Source organism: Homo sapiens, chromosome 17, assembly GCF_000001405.40.
Source record: "Homo sapiens chromosome 17, GRCh38.p14 Primary Assembly".
NCBI lineage: Eukaryota > Metazoa > Chordata > Mammalia > Primates > Hominidae > Homo > Homo sapiens.
The window spans coordinates 60,859,671-60,877,940 of NC_000017.11; the positions used below are offsets into that span (position 1 = coordinate 60,859,671).

Below are 18,270 nucleotides of genomic sequence, written 5' to 3' on the forward strand. Positions count from 1 at the left end.
CGATTCTCCTTCCTCAGCCTCCTAAGTAGCTGGGATTACAGGTGTGCACGACCACGCCCAGCTAATTTTTGTATTTTTAGTAGAGATGGGGTTTCACCATGTTGGCCAAGCTGGTCTCAAACTCCTGACCTCAGGTGATCCACCTGCCTTGGCCTCCCAAAGTGCTAGAATTACAAGCATGAGCCACCACGCCCGGCCTATGTACGACATTTTTAAAATCCAGTCCTCTGTTGATGGGCATCTAGGTTGATTCCATGAATTTGATATTGTGACTAGTGCTGCAAAGAACATAGGAGTGCATGTGTCTTTATGGTAGAATGATTGATATTCCTTTGGATATATATCCAATAATGGGATTGTCCTGTGTTGAATGGTAATTCTAAGTTCTTTGAGAAATCTCCAAACTGCTATCCACGGTGGCTGAACTAATTTACATTCCCACCAGCAGTGTATAAGCATTCCCTTTTCTCCACAACCTCGCTAGCATCTATTATTTTTTGGCTTTTTAGTAATAGCCATTCTGACTGGTGTGAGAAGGCATCTGATTGTGATTTTGATTTGCACCTCTCTAATGATTAGTGATGTTGAGCATATTTTTCATATGCTTGTTGGCCATGTGTATGTCTTCTATTGAGAAGTGTCTGTTCACGTACTTTGCCCATTTTTTAAATGGGGTTATTTCTTGCTTGTTGACTTATAGATTCTGTATATTAGACCTTTGTCAGATGCATAGTTCACAAATATTTTTCTGTCCTTCTGCAGGTTGTTTGCTGTTGACAGTTTCTTGTGCTGTGCTGAAGCTCTTTAATTAAGTACCACTTGTCAATTTTTGTTGCAATTGTTGGGATTGCTTTTGGAGTCTTCCTTATAAAATCTTTGCCAGGGCATGTGTCCAGAATGGTATTTGCTAGGTTTTTGTTTCTAGACTTTTTATAGCATTATGTTTTACATTTCAGTCTTTAATCCACCTTGAGTTGATTTTTGTATACAGTGGAAAGATTTTCATATATAGAGCCCAGTTTCAATCTCCTGCATATGGTTTGCCAGTAGTCCCACCACCATTTATTGAATAGGGAGTTTTTTCCCTATTGTTTGTTATCATCAACTTTGTCAAAGATTAGATGGTTGTAGGTGTGTGGCTTTATTTCTAGGTTCTCCAACCTGTTCCATTGGTCTATGTGTCAGTTTTTGTATCAGTACCATGCTATTTTGGTTACTGTAGCCTTGTAGTATAGTTGAAGTCAAGTAGTGTAATGCCTCCAGCTTTATTCTTTTCGCCTAGGATTGCTTTTACTATTCAGGCTCTTTTTTGGTCTCATATGAATTTTAGAATACTTTTTTTTCTAATTCTGTGAAAAATGCCTTTGGTAGTTTGATAGGAAGAGCATTGAAACTGTAAGTTGCTTTGGGTAGTATGGACATTTTAACGATATTGAGTCTTCCTATCCATGAGCATGGAATGTTTTTCCATTTGCTTGTGTCATCTCTGACTTTTTTCAGCAGCATTTTGTAATTCTCATTTTAGAGGTCTTTTACCTTTCTGGTTAGCAGTATTCCTAGGGATTGTATTCCTTTTACGGCTATTGTGAATGAGATTACTTTCTTGATTTGGCTCTCAGCTGGGATATTATCGATGTATAGACATGCTGTTGATTTTCATACATTGATTTTATATCCTGAAACCTTGCTGGAGTTGTTTAACAAATCCAAGAGCCTTTGGACAGAGACTAAGAGTTTTCTAGGTATTGAATCATATCATCTGGGACTAGAGATAGTGTAACTTCCTGTCTTACTATTTGGATGCCTTTTATTTCTTTCTCTTTCCTGATTGCTCTGGCTGGGACTTCCAGAACTGTGTTGAATAGGATTGGTGAGAGTAGGCGTCTTTGTCTTGTTCTGGTTCTCAGGGGGAATGTTTCCAGTTTTTGCCTGTTCGGTATCGTGTTGGCTGTGGGTTTGTCATAGATGGCTCTTATTATTTTGAGGTATGTTCCTTCAATATCTAGTTTGTTGAAGGTTTTTAACATGAATATTGAATTTTATTGAAAGTCTTTTCTGCATCCCTTGAGATGATCATTTGTTTTTTTGTTTTTAGTTGTGTTTGTATGATGAATCACATTTATTGTTTTGAATATGTTGAACCAAACTTGCATCCCAGGAATAAAGCTTACTTGATCATGGTGGATTAGCTTTTCTGTGTGCTGCTGGATTTGATTTGCTGGTATTTTGTTGAGGAGCTTTGCATCTGTGTTCATCAGGGATATTGGCCTGAAATTTTCCTTATTTGTTAATGTCTCTGCCAGGTTTTGGTATCAGAATGAAGCTGGCTTCGGCCGGGCGTGGTGGCTCATGCCTGAAATCCCAGCACTTCGGGAGGCCGAGGAGGGCGGATCATGAGGTCAGGAGATTGAGACCGTCCTGGCTAACATGGTGAAACCTCGTCTCTACTAAAAATACAAAAAATTAGCCGGGCATGGTGGCAAGCGCCTGTAGTCCCAGCTATTCGAGAGGCTGAGGCAGGAGAATGGCGTGAACCCAGGAGGTGGAGCTTGCAGTGAGCCTAGATTGCACCACTGCACTCCAGCCTGGGAGACAGGGAGACTCTGTCTCAAAACAAACAAACAAACAAAAAACAGAATGAGGCTGGCTTCATAGAATGAGTTAGGGGGAATCTCTCATGCTCGACTTTTTATAATAATTTCAGTAGGATTGGTAGCAGCTTTTCTTTATACATCTAGTAGAATTTGGCTGTGAATTCATTTGGTCCAGGGCTTTTTCTCATTGGTAGGTTTTAAAAAATGACAGATACAATTTTGGAATTCATTATTGTTCTGTTCAGGGTTTTAATTTCTTCCTGATTCAATTTTGGGAGGTTGTTGTGTTTCTAGAAATTTATCCATCTCTCCTATGTTTTCTAGTTTCTGTGCATAGAGGTGGTAAAAAATGTGTTGCATGCATCATCACTGTTGAGTCATAAGATTTTCTTTTCTTTTCTTTTTGAGACAGGGTGTCACTCTGTTGCCCACACTGGAGTGTAGTGGTATGATCAGAACTCACTGCATCCTCAAATTGCTCCTGCCTCAGCCTTCCTAGTAGCTGAGACTACAGGTGCATGCAGAATTTAAAAAATATTTTGGACACAAACCTTTGTCAGATATATATTTTTGCATTTATTTTTTCATAACATGGCACTTGCCTTTTCATTTTTAATTTTTGTCTGTTAAACAGTTAAAGTTTCACATTTTGATAAATTGTGTTTTGTCAGTTATATCTATTTTCATGCATTTCTTTTTCTGTTTAAGAAATAGGTTACAAAGATTTTTCTCAAGAAATAGGTTACAAAGATTTTTCTCCTGTAGTTTGTCCTTGACACATAGTTTTTGCTATTATATTTTTAGACTTATGATCCATTTTGAGTTTGTTTTTGGAGCAATTTAATTTTTTTCATATAGAAATCTGATTCTTTTGGCACCATTTGTTCCAAAAATGATCTTTTCATCATTTAGTTATATTGTACCTTTGATGAAAATGAGTTGGCCATACAAATGTGAGTTTATTTCTCGACTCACTATTCTGTTTCCTTGAAATATTTGTGTATGCCTATACCAGTACCATACTATCCTGACTATTGCAGCTTTATATGTCTTATACATGTATATCATTTGTATACATCCATATCTCAGAGATATTATATAGTGTAGGTTCAGTTCAAGATGACCCCAATAAGGCAAATTCCATAATAAAGCAAGTCCCGTTAATTTTTTGGTTTCCCAGTGCATATAAAAGTTATGTTTGGCTAGGCTCGGTGGCTCATTCCTGTAATTCCAGCACTTTGGGGAGGTAAGGTGGGGGGCTTGCTTGAAGCCAGGAGTTTAAGACCATCTTGGGCAACAAAGCAAGGCACTGTCTAAAAAAATAAAATAAAATAAAAAAATTAGCTGAATATGGTGGTGCGCACCTGTAGCCCCAGCTACTCAGGATGCTGTGACTAGAGGATTGCTTGAGATCAGGAATTAGAGGCTACAGTGAATTCCATTTCAGGTGACAGAGTGAGGCCCTGTATCTAAAACAAAAACAAAACCAAAAAAGGTATGTTTACACTATACTATAGTCTCTTAAGTGTATAATGGCATTATGTCAAAAAAAAATCAATGTGCATACCTTAATTAAAAAATACTTTATTGCTAAAAAATACTGATGTTCTGATACTTCAGTGAATCATAATCTTTTTGCTGATGGAGAGTCCTGGTTACCCCTTACGGGGCTCTTTCCTGTTCAGCGTCATGAAACCAACACATCAAACTGAAAATGAGTATCAGGCAGTGCAGCTTTATTCAGTAGCCTTGGAATTGGAGAAGTGGGAACTTAGCTTAACTTCTCAGCTCCTGAGAAACCTGGAAGTTACAGATATAGGGCATCTTTAATGAAGGGTTTGGGCATTAAGAGCCAGGAGAGGAATATGTTTTTCTTGGAAAGGGATGGAGATTTTCCTGGAATCAAGGAGCCACCTCTTTTCTATGCTTTCCTGGTCTCTTCTGGTCTTTGTCATTGTGATTGTCAACTGTCATGGTGCTGATGGGAGTGTCACTTAGCATGGAAATTGGATTATAATGAAGCTAGAGGTTCTTCAGAGGTCGATTAAACTGCCATTGTGGATTTCATCAGCTTTAGCTGGGTTAGACCTAAGAAGGAACTTCTGACCACAGACATCCTGTTTCCTAAAAATAAATGGAGTTAAAGCTGACTAGGAATTTAGCCATATCACATAGGCATTGCATTGGCCAACAAAAATGGGGTAGGGATCCAGCTAAGTCATTTAGGCACTACAATGGGTAGTATTAGGACCTTGCTCTGGATTAGGCTTTGGCTTAAGGGAATGTTGTGTTTAGTTTAGTCTTCTATCTAAACCACTAAAACTTTCTCCATATCGGCAATAAGCCTGTTTCACTTTCTTCTCATTCATGTGTTCACTGGAGTAGCACTTTTAATTTCTTCAAGAACTTTTTCTTTGTGTTCATGACTTGGTGATGTGGTGTAAGAGGTCTGGTTTTCTGCCTGTATCAGCTTTCAGTACGTCTTCCTTGCTAAGCTTAATCATTCCTAGCCTTTGATTTGAAATGAGAGATATGCAACTCTTTATTTCAAATGAACACTTAGAGGCTATTGTAGGATTATTAATTGGTCTACTTTCAATATTGCTGTGTCTCAGTGATGAAGGAGGCCTGAGGAGAGGGAGAGAGACAGGAGAATAGCTGGTAGGTGGAGCTTTCAGAACACACTCATTTATTGATTAAATTTACCGTCTTCTATGGGTCCAGTATGTGGTGCCCCAAAACAATTACAATAATAACGTCAAAGATCACTGATCACAGATCATTCTAACAGATATAATAATAAATGAAAGAGTTTGAAGTATTATGAGAATTACCAAAATGTGATGGAGAGACACTAGTTGAGCACGTAGTGTTGTAAAAATGGCTTCAGTCAACTTGCTTGACACAGGTTTCCCACAAACCTTCAATTTGTTAAAAAAAAAAAATGCAATATCTGTAAAGCACAGTAAAGTGAGGTGCAGTAAATTAGGTATGCTCGTATGTAAGAATCATGTTAATTTGCATAAAGATTTTAAAGTTAGCTTGTCATCGTCTTTAAAAAGGCCTGGTAGGATTTTGATTGTGATTATTAAATACATAGATCAGTTTGGGGAGACTTGCCATCTTAAGAAAATTATAACTCCCAATCCAAGAACATGGTATTTACTATTATTTATTTAGGTCTTTGATTTATTTTATCTGCATGTTATAGTTTTTAGTATACAAATCTTGCATGTATTTTGTTAGACTTACATAGAATTATTTCATATTTTCATGCTATTGCAAATACTTTCAGTTTCAAATTGTTCATTTCTATACAAACATGATTGTGTATGTAGACCATGAATTCTGCAACCTTGGTAAAGTTCTAGTAGCTTTTTAAAGAGATTCTTTGGGATTTTTTATGTAGATAATGTTATCTATAAATAGATCATGTTATCTGTGATGGTTTTATTTCTACCTTGACAATCTGGATGCTTTAAATTTATTTATCTGTAATTATTGCGCTGGGTAAGACTTCTTATACAATGTTGAGTAGAAGTGATAAAAGCAGACAATTTTGCCTCGTTCTTGACCTTATGGGGAAGGTGTTTATTCTTATATCTGTAGATTTTTTTATAGGTGCACTTTATAAGGTAGAAGAAATTCTAATTATGGTTTGTTGAGTGTTTTTCTCTTGAAAAGGGTGTTGCATTTTTATTCCTAAAAATGCCATATCTGCATCTTTCTAATGTGATAATCATGGTAGTTTCCCCCCTTTTTTCTGTGAATATGGTGAATTACATTAATAGATATTTTGTAGTAAAGCAGCCTTGCATTCCTGCAATAAAGTTCACCTGGTTTTGTATTGCTGGATTTTATTTGCTAATTTTTTTTTTTTTTTTGAGACAGAGTTTCACTGTTGTTGCCTAGGCTGGAGTGCAGTGATGCAATCTCGGCTCAAGATTGAAATCAGTTTCAAGCGATTCTCCTGTCTCAGCCTCCTGAGTAGCTGGGATTACAGACATGCTTGCACCACCACCCCTGGCTAATTTTTGTATTTTTAGTAGAGACGGGGTTTCTCCATGTTGGTCAGGCTGGTCTTGAACTCCCAACCTCAGGTGATCCACCTGCCTCGGCCTCCCAAAGTGCTGAGATTACAGGCATGAGCCACTGCCCCCAGCTATTTGCTAATATTTTCTTAATGAGTTTTGGGTGTATATTTATGAGACATATAGATATACAAGCATATATTTTATTTTCTTGCAATATATTTATTTAGTTTTTGGATATGTGCTACTGACATTATAAAATATGTTGGAAAGTGACTCTTCTACCTTACGAAAGAGTTCATGTATGATAGGTATAATTTTTTGTTTTGAGGATTTTCTTTGCAAGAAGTTATGAATTGAATTTCTTTTTAGATCGTGAGCTATTCAAATTATCTTTATGTGTAGATTGGTTTTGGCACTCTGTACATTTTAAGGCATTTGTCTGTGTCATCAGAATATTTCCTGTTTCCTTCATTATTTGTTTGTTCCTTCTTTATTACTTTTTTGAACACTTTGACCAGAGTTATTGATTCTATTATCTTTAAAAATAACAAAGTTTTTGTTTTATTGATTCCCCCTTTGCTTACTCATTTTATTTTAAGAAATTCTTGTTCTTAAAATATGTTCTGTCCCTCTGTCTAGAACACAGTTTTTTCTTTATTGTACCTTTACAATAAGTCTTATTATGTGGAATGCATTTCCATATACATTCTAGAATGAGATCTCATGTCTGGTATATTTTTGATGAGGTTTTAAACTATCAATTTAGAGGTCTTTTAGGCCATGTTATTTTCTTTTAGGTAGGTTTTTTTGTTTTTGTTTTTTTTTTTTGAGGCAGTTTCACTCTGTCGTCCAGGCTGGAGTGCAGTAGCACAATCTTGGCTCACTGCAACTCCGCCTCCCAGGTTCAAGCAATTTTCCTGCTTCAGCCTCTCAAGTAGTTGGGATTACAGGTGCTTGACACCATGCCCGGATAATTTTTGTATTTTTAATAGAGATGGGGTGTCGCTGTGTTGGCCAGGCTGATCTGAAACTCCTGACCTCAAGTGATCTGCCTGTCTTGGCCTCCTAAAGTGCTGGGGTTACAGACGTGAGCCACCACGCCTGGCCTACGTAGGTTTTTAAAAAACCATTTTATTCTTCTTGTGTAGATATATTATGAATCTTTCCTTAGATTTGTTCCAAGATAGTCAATAGTTTTGATATTTAATGTCATTTTATATGATTTTTAAAAAAATTTTACTAATTGTTTCTCAATTTATAAAAATATACCTGATGTTTGTATATTAAACTTTTATCTAGAGACCTTGGTAAATCCATATATTCTAACAGTTGGTCTTTATTATGAATTTGCCTCTGTGTGTGTGTGCACAGATGATCTATATTTCTATGCACAGATTGGTATTTTTTGCTTTTATACAATCAAGTTTTTAGCAAATAATGACAGCTTTAGTTTCTCCTTATAGTAATTACTTTTCTTGGCTTATGCACAAGACCTTCCATACTGTGTTGAATAGAAGTTATGATAATAAGCATTTTTTCCTACATCCTGATTTTAGGGTCAGACCTTTTCATATTTTATGGGTGTTTGCTAGTTTTTGTTCGTTAGTTTTAAGGTTGGTACCCTTTATCGTATTAAGGAAATGTTTCTTATCATGAATAGGCTTTGAAGTTTATTAGATTCTTTTATGTATCTATTGGTGTAATCATATAATTTTTCTTTTCTTTCATGTTTTTTTTTTTTTTGAGACGGATTCTTGCTCTGTCACCCAGGCTGGAGTGTAGTGGTGTGATCTTGGCTCACCGCACCCTCCGCCTCCTAGGTTCAAGCGATTCTCCTGCCTCAGCCTCCCAGAGAAGCTGGGACTACAGGCACATGCCACCATGCCTGCCTAATTTTTGTATTTTTTTAGTGGGGGCAGGGTTTCACCATGTTGGCCAGGCTGGTCTCAAACTCCTGACCTCGTGATCCACCTGCCTCGGCCTCCCAAAGTGCTGGGATTACAGGTGTGAGTAACTGCACCAGCCTAATCATATCATTTTTCTTCTGTGTAGTACTAATTTGGTGAGTGATATTTTTTTCTTTGCCAAATTTTGCATTCCTAACTTGTTGACTTAAAATAAGGGATGTATTATGATCATTTTTGGGATAAGTTTTGAATCAATTTACTAATATCTTGTTAATCAGAGGTTTGAATATTATGTTAATGAGAAAGTATAGAGATTATTGGTCTTTCTTTTTTAAAAAAATGACATTTTTCTTTCTTTTTTCTTTTTTAGCACAAGCCCACCGTACTGTTGTGTGGATCTGTATTCACTTCGTACTGGGGAGATGGTCAAGTCCATTCAATTTAAGACACCTATTTATGATCTCCATTGCAATAAACGGTAAGGATTTTTTCATGGGTTTCTTGTGTAAAATAAGAAACATGCTCTCCTGGGCATGGAGAACTCTACCAGTTTCAATGACTAACTTAGATTTATTTTTAAAAATCTCAAGGAAACACCTTCTGAATTCTGTTCAGTGGAATAACTCTAAGATTTCTTGATGAATATATTCAGACTTCTAGTCTTGATCCATTAGGGAATTGTGAATTCAGTTTAGTGGGATATAACAAGCATTTGTAAAACAAAATGGAAATGAATAGAAAGTATCTGAGCAAACTTAAAAAGGTTAAGTATGGTTTTGAGAAATATTTTAATGTAGCTTTTTATATGTATTTTGTGTATGCTGATTTATGATGTGAAATGTAGTTTTGCTGTGAGAAACCACCAAAATTTTTGAAAAGCATGTTCCTGAACTATAAAAAAATGCTTTAAAATATTTTTATTCCTTCACACTTCACAGTGGAGCTAAAATAGGGACTAGACTAATTTGTATCCTTTAAAATTTATTTCATTTAATTGCTGGGAAAATATTCAGATCTATCTTGAACTTCTATGTGACCTCTACTGCTAATGACAAATTAATCACAGAACATTAGAGGAGAAAGGAACCTTAGGAATCTTCTATCACTCAGCACTTTCCTTTTCCGTTTAAGCAAACTGAAGCCCTGGGATGGTAAATATCTTGATCATTAGCTCTTACATGCCTCGTATAAATCTTCCATGCCATTAAAAAGCAAAACACCTGAAATATAGAAAATAAATTGTTTTCTGCCATTTCAGTAAATTTAAGTGAAGCAAAAGACTCACAGGTTAGAGTTTAAAGAGATGTTTTGAAACGTGACTCAGTAAGGTTGAATGTAGAAGGGAGGGCAAAGACATACTTAAAAAATACAAATAAAAGGAAGGTGGGTTTTGATACTAATAAGAGAAATATTTGAATTCAAGTATAGAAAGATGAAAATTATAGGATGTAGGAAAAATACCCAATATATTATTGCTAGAATAATATGATTGTCCTATGACACATCAAGTTGATCAGAAGGGTATAGAAGTGTTAAACAACGTTATTGAATGGGTAGATCCTGCAGACATATTTAACCCTGAACTGTCCTTTGTGCTGTCACAAACTTGATTACATATTATTTGGTCAAAAAATAATGTGAACACATACTAAAAAGTACAGAGAAGATTTTTAGACCACAGCTTCCTTGTATTTCAATTACATAAATATACTAGAAGTCAAAAAACAACAACACAAAACTCTTTCTCTTATTTACTTTCCTCTTTAATTTAAAATGTTTGCTCCATTTTAAAGAGGAAATCAAAACTGTAATTGTATATCATCTGAAAATTAATCGCAAAATATGGTTGCTCAGTTGCTTAGGTACTTTATTTAAAGGTTTCAGGTCCCCCACAGATAAATGTAGTCATCTATATCTGAATTGCTCCTCATTCTCCAGAAACCGTACGTATCAATAAATGGCACATATAAAATCACCTGTAGCCCATGCTTAATTCATAACTGCACAAGAGTGAATACTACAACTAGAAATTTTAAATTTGAGGAAGGTAGAGCTTATTCGGGAGCCCTAGCAAGAGGTGATATGACAAGAGTGTATGATATGGCAGAAAGGAGACTATGGTGGGAATTTATTGGTGCAGAAGGGACATAAGTAAACTATGGTTCACTCCCAGAAGCATAGGCTCTGTTGGAGACCTAGTAGTTTAAAGCACTAAGGGATCAAAAGGGTCTCGGGAAGTGTGCAGGAACAGATGTATCCTTGAAAATTCCTTCTGGCAGTATGGCAGGCAATGTTAAGGGTAATAAGTCTTCAAATAAATAAATGTAATAAAGAGAAGATATGATGTAAACCTTACTGAAACAAGGTAGCAACACTGACTCAGAACACTTATCGCTCCTCCATTGTAACCCCCCAATAAAACAGTAATTTATAAAGTCTGATGCTAATGAAAATATAGATAAGTGTACCAATGCAACAAAGTAGAATCTCAGATTAGACACACACAACCTCTATAGACATGTGACTTATAAAGGTTCCGCTGCAGGTAAGTTTTTTCAATAAATATTGCTCCAGCACTCAGATATTGATACAGAAAAAACTCAAGTCTTGACTCCTACAACAAAAAACGATGCCATGTGAATTCTAACTCTAACCATGAAAGATAATACCATTTATTTGTAGGAACATTTTCAATTACAAATTCAATTTATTTTATATTTACAAGTCTATTAAGACTTTAAAGTTCTTTCTAGCACAAGTTTTGATAATTTGCCTTGATAATTTGTCATTTATTAGTTTTGATAATTTATCAATAGTTTTGACAATGGTCTTCCCAGTCATTTGTCCATTAAGTCTTCTAATTTATTGGAATTTAGTTGTTTGTAATATTCCTACGTTGCTAATTTAATGACTGTAGGTTATCTGGTGATGTAGGTAATTTATGAATTCTATTTCCTTTTCTTTTTTGGGAGTTGGGAGGACTGGATCTCACTCTGTCACCCAGACTGGAGTGCAGTGGCACCATCACGGCTCACTGCATCCTTAAACTCCCAAGCTGAAGCAATCCTCTTGACTCAGCCTCCCTGTAGCTGGAACTGCAGGCATGTGCCACCACGCCTGGCTAATTTTTTTTAACATTTTTTTTGTAGAGACAAGGTCCCACTGTGTTGTCCAGGCTGGTCTAGAACTCCTGGTTCAAGTGGTCCTCCTGCCTTGGGCTGGGATTAGAGGCATGAGCCACTGTGCCCAATCTCTCTATTTTCTTGATCAGTCTACCTAGAGATTTGGTTTTATTTCCAGCTGTAGGTTTATTTATAGGGAAGTAGCGTGGGGTATGTGTTGATTATCAAGTTCAGCAGTTTATTTTCTAGTTTGCCAGGGTTTTTTTTGGTTTGTTTTTGTTTTTTTTTTTTTTGCATAACCAGGCATTGTATTTAGTGAAGTCAATATGAGGACGATCATGTTTTTCCTTTTCAATTTGTTAAATTGGATGATTTCCCAGTGTTAAACCATTCTTACACCCTGGGTTTCACCCTAGGGGTAATTATCTATAATCCTTTTTATATATTCCTGGATTTAATTTTTGCAGCTATGTTCATGAGGGAGATTCATGTATATTTTCTTTTTCTTATTATGCCTTGTCTGTTTTTTTGTTTCATTCATTAGACCCTTAGGAAGGTATTTCTTTTTTTGGAATTTTCTATGATAATTTGTGTAGGATTGTTATTCTATTTTTCTTAAATCTTTTGAGTTTCTGTCATTGGGTTAACATACATTTATGGTTATTATGACCCTTTATGAACCATCCTTTGTTAATAGTGATATTCTTGTTCTTAATGTTTATCTGATAATAATATATCCATTTCAGCTCTTTTGTTACTATACGTATGGTATGTATTTTTCCATTTTTCAGTTTTAAGCTAGTTGTGTGTTTGAATTTGTTGGTGTAGACATAATATGGTATCATTATCCAGTCTGACAGTTTCTAGTTTTAAATATTCTATGTTTATAAAATAAATTATGAGAAGGAATGAGAATATTATATGCGTGTATGTGTATATAGTGTGTGTATATAATATGTGCATGTGTATGTGTGTATATGTACTTATATGTATATCTGTATGTATATGCACACATACACACACCCCATATATATCTGAATGTATATATCTGTATGTATATACACACATACACACACATACCCCATATATATCTGTATGTATATATCTGTATGTATATATACACATACACACACACCCCATATATATCTGTATGTATATATCTGTATGTATATATACACACATACACACCCCATATATATCTGTATGTGTATATCTGTATGTATATACACACACCCCCATATATATCTGTATGTATATACACACATGGACACACACCCCATATCTATTTTTATGTATATACACACATACACACACACCCCGATATCTATCTGTATGTATATACACACATACACACACATACACCATATATATCTATGTATGTATATACACATATACACACACATACCTCATATATATCTGTATGTATATACACACATACACACACACACCCCATATATATCTGTATGTGTATATCTGTATGTATATATCTGTATGTATATACACACATACACACACACACACCCCATAAGTACTTTCTCTTTGGTTCCATTGACTCTTAATAATGGTGCATTTTTGTGGCTGTGTGTGTGTTTCATTATTTGATATTTTCTGTCAAACGCTGTGTGTAGAGGAATAGTACAGACATTGGTAATTAGATATGGAAATGCCTTTTCTTCTATCAGGGCATTAAAAGGGTATTAAGTTGATATAACATGTAGGCAAGGTGGTCTGAGGCTTTAGTATAGTAACAGAACAGAAATGGAATTTACAATTGAGTAATTCTAAAATTTGATATTATCACCTTTATAAGGATATTATCTCTACCTTTTTGTGTATTCAGAGTACACATACACATATATAGCAAATTATCACTTATTAGTAAGAAGCAACCCAGTAAAATATATAGAGAAAAGTTTTTAACAGGCCCAGCTAGAAAAAAAAATTGCAAGGATCTAACAGTAGTCACTCATTAGAATTATTCTGCATCAGTAAATGAAATTGTTGTTTTTAAAGATGAACAAAATTAATAAAGCATGCATATGAAATAATACATTTTCCTTTTTTTATACTCATATTAGCATCTGTTGCTCAGATTTACCAGCTTCCAATTTTGAAAAATAAGCTATTAGTTTGTTAAATATTTAGTAACAATTATAATCTCTATTTGATTTTTTGAAGTAAATATTAAGCTTGGCTATTTATATTAATATGCTGCAAGGATAGCACAATATAAAGTGGTGGCTTTGGATGTATTTTAGGAATTTTGCTTTAAAAAAGTGTTTATAACTAAATTATTTTCTAATTATCTGTAAATCTTGGGCATTGAGAAAAATACTGCTTTTACAGATTGTTAGTGAATTTTACTATATTGAGTCAATCAGAAATGACTTATATTTATGAGTAGCAGTTGGGAAATTCATCCGCCATTTAAACTTAAAGTGATGGGTTACATAAATCCATTTTATCTTTAATACCATGACTAAAACATCACTGGAAAAACACTTTAGTAGATAGCCAACAATTTATTATCTTCTCCATTCTTTTTTTTTCATTTCCTTTTGAGACAGGATCTCACTATGTTGCCTAGGCTGGTCTCAATCTCCTGGGCTCAAGTGATTCTCCTGCCTCAGCCTCTTGAGTAGCTGGGATTACGGGTGTGCAACACTGTGCTGGGCTTGATCTTATCCATCTTTACTGTAGACTTATTCGATTCAAAAATAAATGAAAACAAAACTTTACTTTGTGTATTCATATTTTTAGAGACAAGATCTTGCTGTTGCCCAGGCTGGCGTGCAGTGGTGTGATCGTAGCTCCCTGCAGTCTTGACCTCCTGGGCTCAAGTGATCCTCCTGCCTCAGCCTCCTGAGTAACTAGGACTACAGGCTCACACCACCACACCTGGCTAGTTTATTTGTATTATTTCTTATAGAGACAGGGTCTTCCTTTGTTGCCCAGGCTGGTCTCAACCTCCTGGGCTCAAGTGATCCTTCTGCCTTGGCCTCCAGGAATGTTGGGATTGTAGGCATGAGCCACCATGCCTGGCTGAAACAAAACTATTAAAAGACAAACATTTTTTGAGGTGGTAGTTTTTTCTTCCATCACTTTTCTTCTAGTCATCTCTATCTTATTTATATATAGGATTTTGTGGTTTATATTTTTACACATTTTAAGAGGCAGAAGTTTCTAGCCTAAATATTATAGGAAATGTTTAATTTTAAAATTGTATTAGTAGGCACTTGTTTTCATCTAGATGATATAATGCATTTCTGATTCCACTTACAGAATTTCACATTCACTTTTTTTCTTTCTGTTTTTTTTCTCTCTCTAATTTTAGGATCCTTGTCGTAGTCTTGCAGGAGAAAATTGCTGCCTTTGATAGCTGTACTTTCACGAAGAAATTCTTTGTTACAAGTATGTACCAATTTTTTTTCCCTTCTTATGCCTTTGGGTTTATACTACTTACTTGACACAATCAGCAAACTAACTGTAATTTTCTCAACAGTACTTAATGTTTTCAATTTTGATGATTTTCTTGTGATTCTGTGGCTATTCTCATTGAGTAATATTCTTGTATGATATATATTTTCAACTTTCCAACACATTTTCTTTATATTACTAAGCAAGCTTTGTTGTGGGTTACCTCACTTTCTCCTTACATACTATCCTTGAGTTTGTGATTTAGTTTCATATAGCTGTTTCATACTTTCAAAGCAGTTGTTAAATTGCTTAACATACCGTACTTTTATACATTATACCTTTACATATGAGCAAAATTTGTTTCTACTAACATTAGTATCTGTCATTTAACCAAAAGGTGAAAAAAATATATTTTTCGAATAAGGACTTATATTTTAAAAGAGTGTTCAAAAATCTTCAATACTGTTAAATAAACTTATGTACTTATAAAGCTGTAAGCACAATTTCCTTTAAAACTTTTGTTTGTTTTTGTAAATTGATAATATTTGCAGCTTTTCTGTGGGAGTATTTGGCAGCTTGAGATTTTCTAATAGGAGAATTTGTGGTAAGTCCTCATTTGGGTCAACTTACAGATTTTCTGTATGATGGAAAAAAATGTAAACACATAAAGCCTTGGAAAATATATTGGCAGAATCAGTATAGAAGTTGGCACATTTTCAAAGAAAGCAATTTAGCAGTTTCGTATTACCAATTTTACTATAATTTCTCAATTTAAACCATATATGACAGAGAAAAGAGTGAAAAAACCTTTTACTTAGAAGAGAGAATAGTGTATGTATTCTTAGTTTTTATTGCTATTTGAAATTGAAAGTTCTTGCAGAAAAAATGTGTTTTTAGTCATCTTAAAATGGTTAAATGTATCTTAAATATACAAATGTCTTCAATTTTCAATAATTTGGCCTATTATGTAAACATGTAATAATATAGTGCTGTGGCAAAAATATTGTATCTTAATTAAATTTCTAGTGCCACAGACATGCCATTTCTTTTCCTGTAAAGGCCATAAACAATAACTTTTTATTTTGGGAAATATATACATATATATAATTAGAGTAGTAGTATGATGAACACCCACGCATTTATTATCTAGTTTCAACAACTATCAAATAATGGACAGTCTTTTTCATTTATACCCCTTCCCCAATTATTTTGAAGCATATTGCAGACATTATAGAATTTAATTTGTACATATTTATTATCTACGTCTGAAAGATAAGAACTTTGAAAAATTACCAAGTGATTATATAATTATCATCCAAACTGCAGTCTTTTGATTTGCACAGTTGCCATACTGGACTTAACTCTGATCAATATATGTAAACTTGTAAAGTCCTGAGCGAACACAGATATATAGTTATCTTGTCCATTTACTACCAATGAAACTCCCAAGGTTTTTGATACACCAAAACCTTCTTTATGAAAGTTTAGTGTCCTTGCTAAATCTTTTCTACAACTTAATTTTCATGCTTCTTATGTCCCATTTAATTTGAACCTCTCATTATTCTCATTCTGTTGGAGGTACATTTTTCCTTTGTCTTCGTGACCAGAATGGCCTTTTCACTAATACCCCTTCTCTTTATGATGTTTTAATCCTATATATCTTTCTGGGCCCAGTGTAGATAGTAATTCTTATATGAAATCTTTCTTGACCCCTTTAGCTTACAGAAACTTCTCCTTCTAAATCCCTTAAAGATAACATTTCCCACTGTCTGTTTGTAGAACATTAGATTTTCAACATACTTTGCAAATCAGGATGCCCTGGTCAAATATGCTTAGGAAATGCTGCCTTCTGTTGAGACTAGCAATGATGATTAGTATTTTGTCTGTTTAAATTTATTTGATACATTTCTTAATTTCCCATATTTATTTGATAACAGACCTCATTTGTTAACCAACACCGTTTTGGAATGCTTTTGTAGTATGTCATCTCTGCCTCTCTTGAGGCACTTACATTCTATCTTGTATACATTTTCTATCTGTTTGCCGCTAGACAGTATTCTCATTGAGAGAAAAGTTACTCAGTTTGTTTTGGATTGAGGAAATAAAGTTTTACCATGGAAGGCATAATGTGTCTATCATGTCCTTGCCAACATAAAAATATTAATGATTTTTTTTGTTCTCTTAATAATAAAACCCAGTTCACTAAAGATGAATACATTTATCAAAATTATGTTCGGTTTCAAAGCACAAGTGGTTCTTTTTCAGAATGTTTAGTTAATGAAAATGTTTGTGATAACAGTATGTCTGAAAATGTAGTGCTTCTCTGTCAACAGTTATCAGATGAAGAAAATTATTTATATAGGATCAGTACAGATCTTTATAGGTCTGAGTTGGAAATTAAAAGTAAGTGGTGAATATTTTAAGAAATGATATATATATATATATATACACACACATATATACATATATATGCATAGATGAATGAAATTTCTATCTTACAAGTCACATTGGGGTAAATCCAGAAATTTTGGAAAGGATGAGTTTGTTAGAAAATTATGTCTTCATAGGCGTCACCTCTTGAGTATCTCTCTCGTATCTGCAGTATCTCTCCTGTCTATCTCTAAAGGATTTCCCCTTTGAAAATGGGATCTTCTGTTCTGCAGACTTTTAGTAAGCACAAAACATAAGTCAAATTTGATAAAAGTGAACAGGAGACTGAGTTGTTAGCACTCTTTCTTAATGCCTTTCATGCTTTCCTTTTTCTTTAATGTCTTTTTGGGACATCTTTGCCATGTATTCCTGAATACTTCCACCTGAATTGCTGGACCACTGAATAGATGAAACAAGTTTTGTTAAAGCATTAGTCTCTTTTGTATTCTGTGAATTCTTCACTACAGGAAGAAGAGATCTAGAGGGATCAACAGTGTTTGTGGTACTGTAGAAGGTACTTTAAAAGTGAAATGCAGCTTTTAGTTAAGTCCTGGTCAAGTGGCTGGAGGTCCACAGTGATGAATTTTTAGTAATTCCTGACCCACAAAGATTATCACTTATTCTCTCAGAGTAATGTTTGCATACTGGCTGTCATGGGTTGGGCATTCCTTAAAATCTATTTAGTGTGGATTTCATAAAATCTGAAATGTATGTTACTTAAATGGTTAAAATATTGAAAAAAGTAGTAAATAAAAGTACATTCTGT

The 18,270-nt window shown here is 34.5% G+C and overlaps 1 protein-coding gene across 8 annotated transcripts in view; it reads left to right on the top strand.

Annotated features, from left to right (window-relative positions):
* BCAS3 (BCAS3 microtubule associated cell migration factor) overlaps nucleotides 1-18,270 on the top strand; it is a 714,981-nt gene that overhangs the window by 181,820 nt on the left and 514,891 nt on the right. For all 8 annotated transcript variants that reach the window (NM_001353144.2, NM_001353145.2, NM_001330413.2 and 5 more), the window contains exons 8-9: nucleotides 8,906-9,013; nucleotides 14,992-15,068. In NM_001353144.2, the coding sequence (NP_001340073.1) occupies nucleotides 8,906-9,013; nucleotides 14,992-15,068 (185 nt within the window). The remainder of the gene's footprint in view (nucleotides 1-8,905; nucleotides 9,014-14,991; nucleotides 15,069-18,270) is intronic.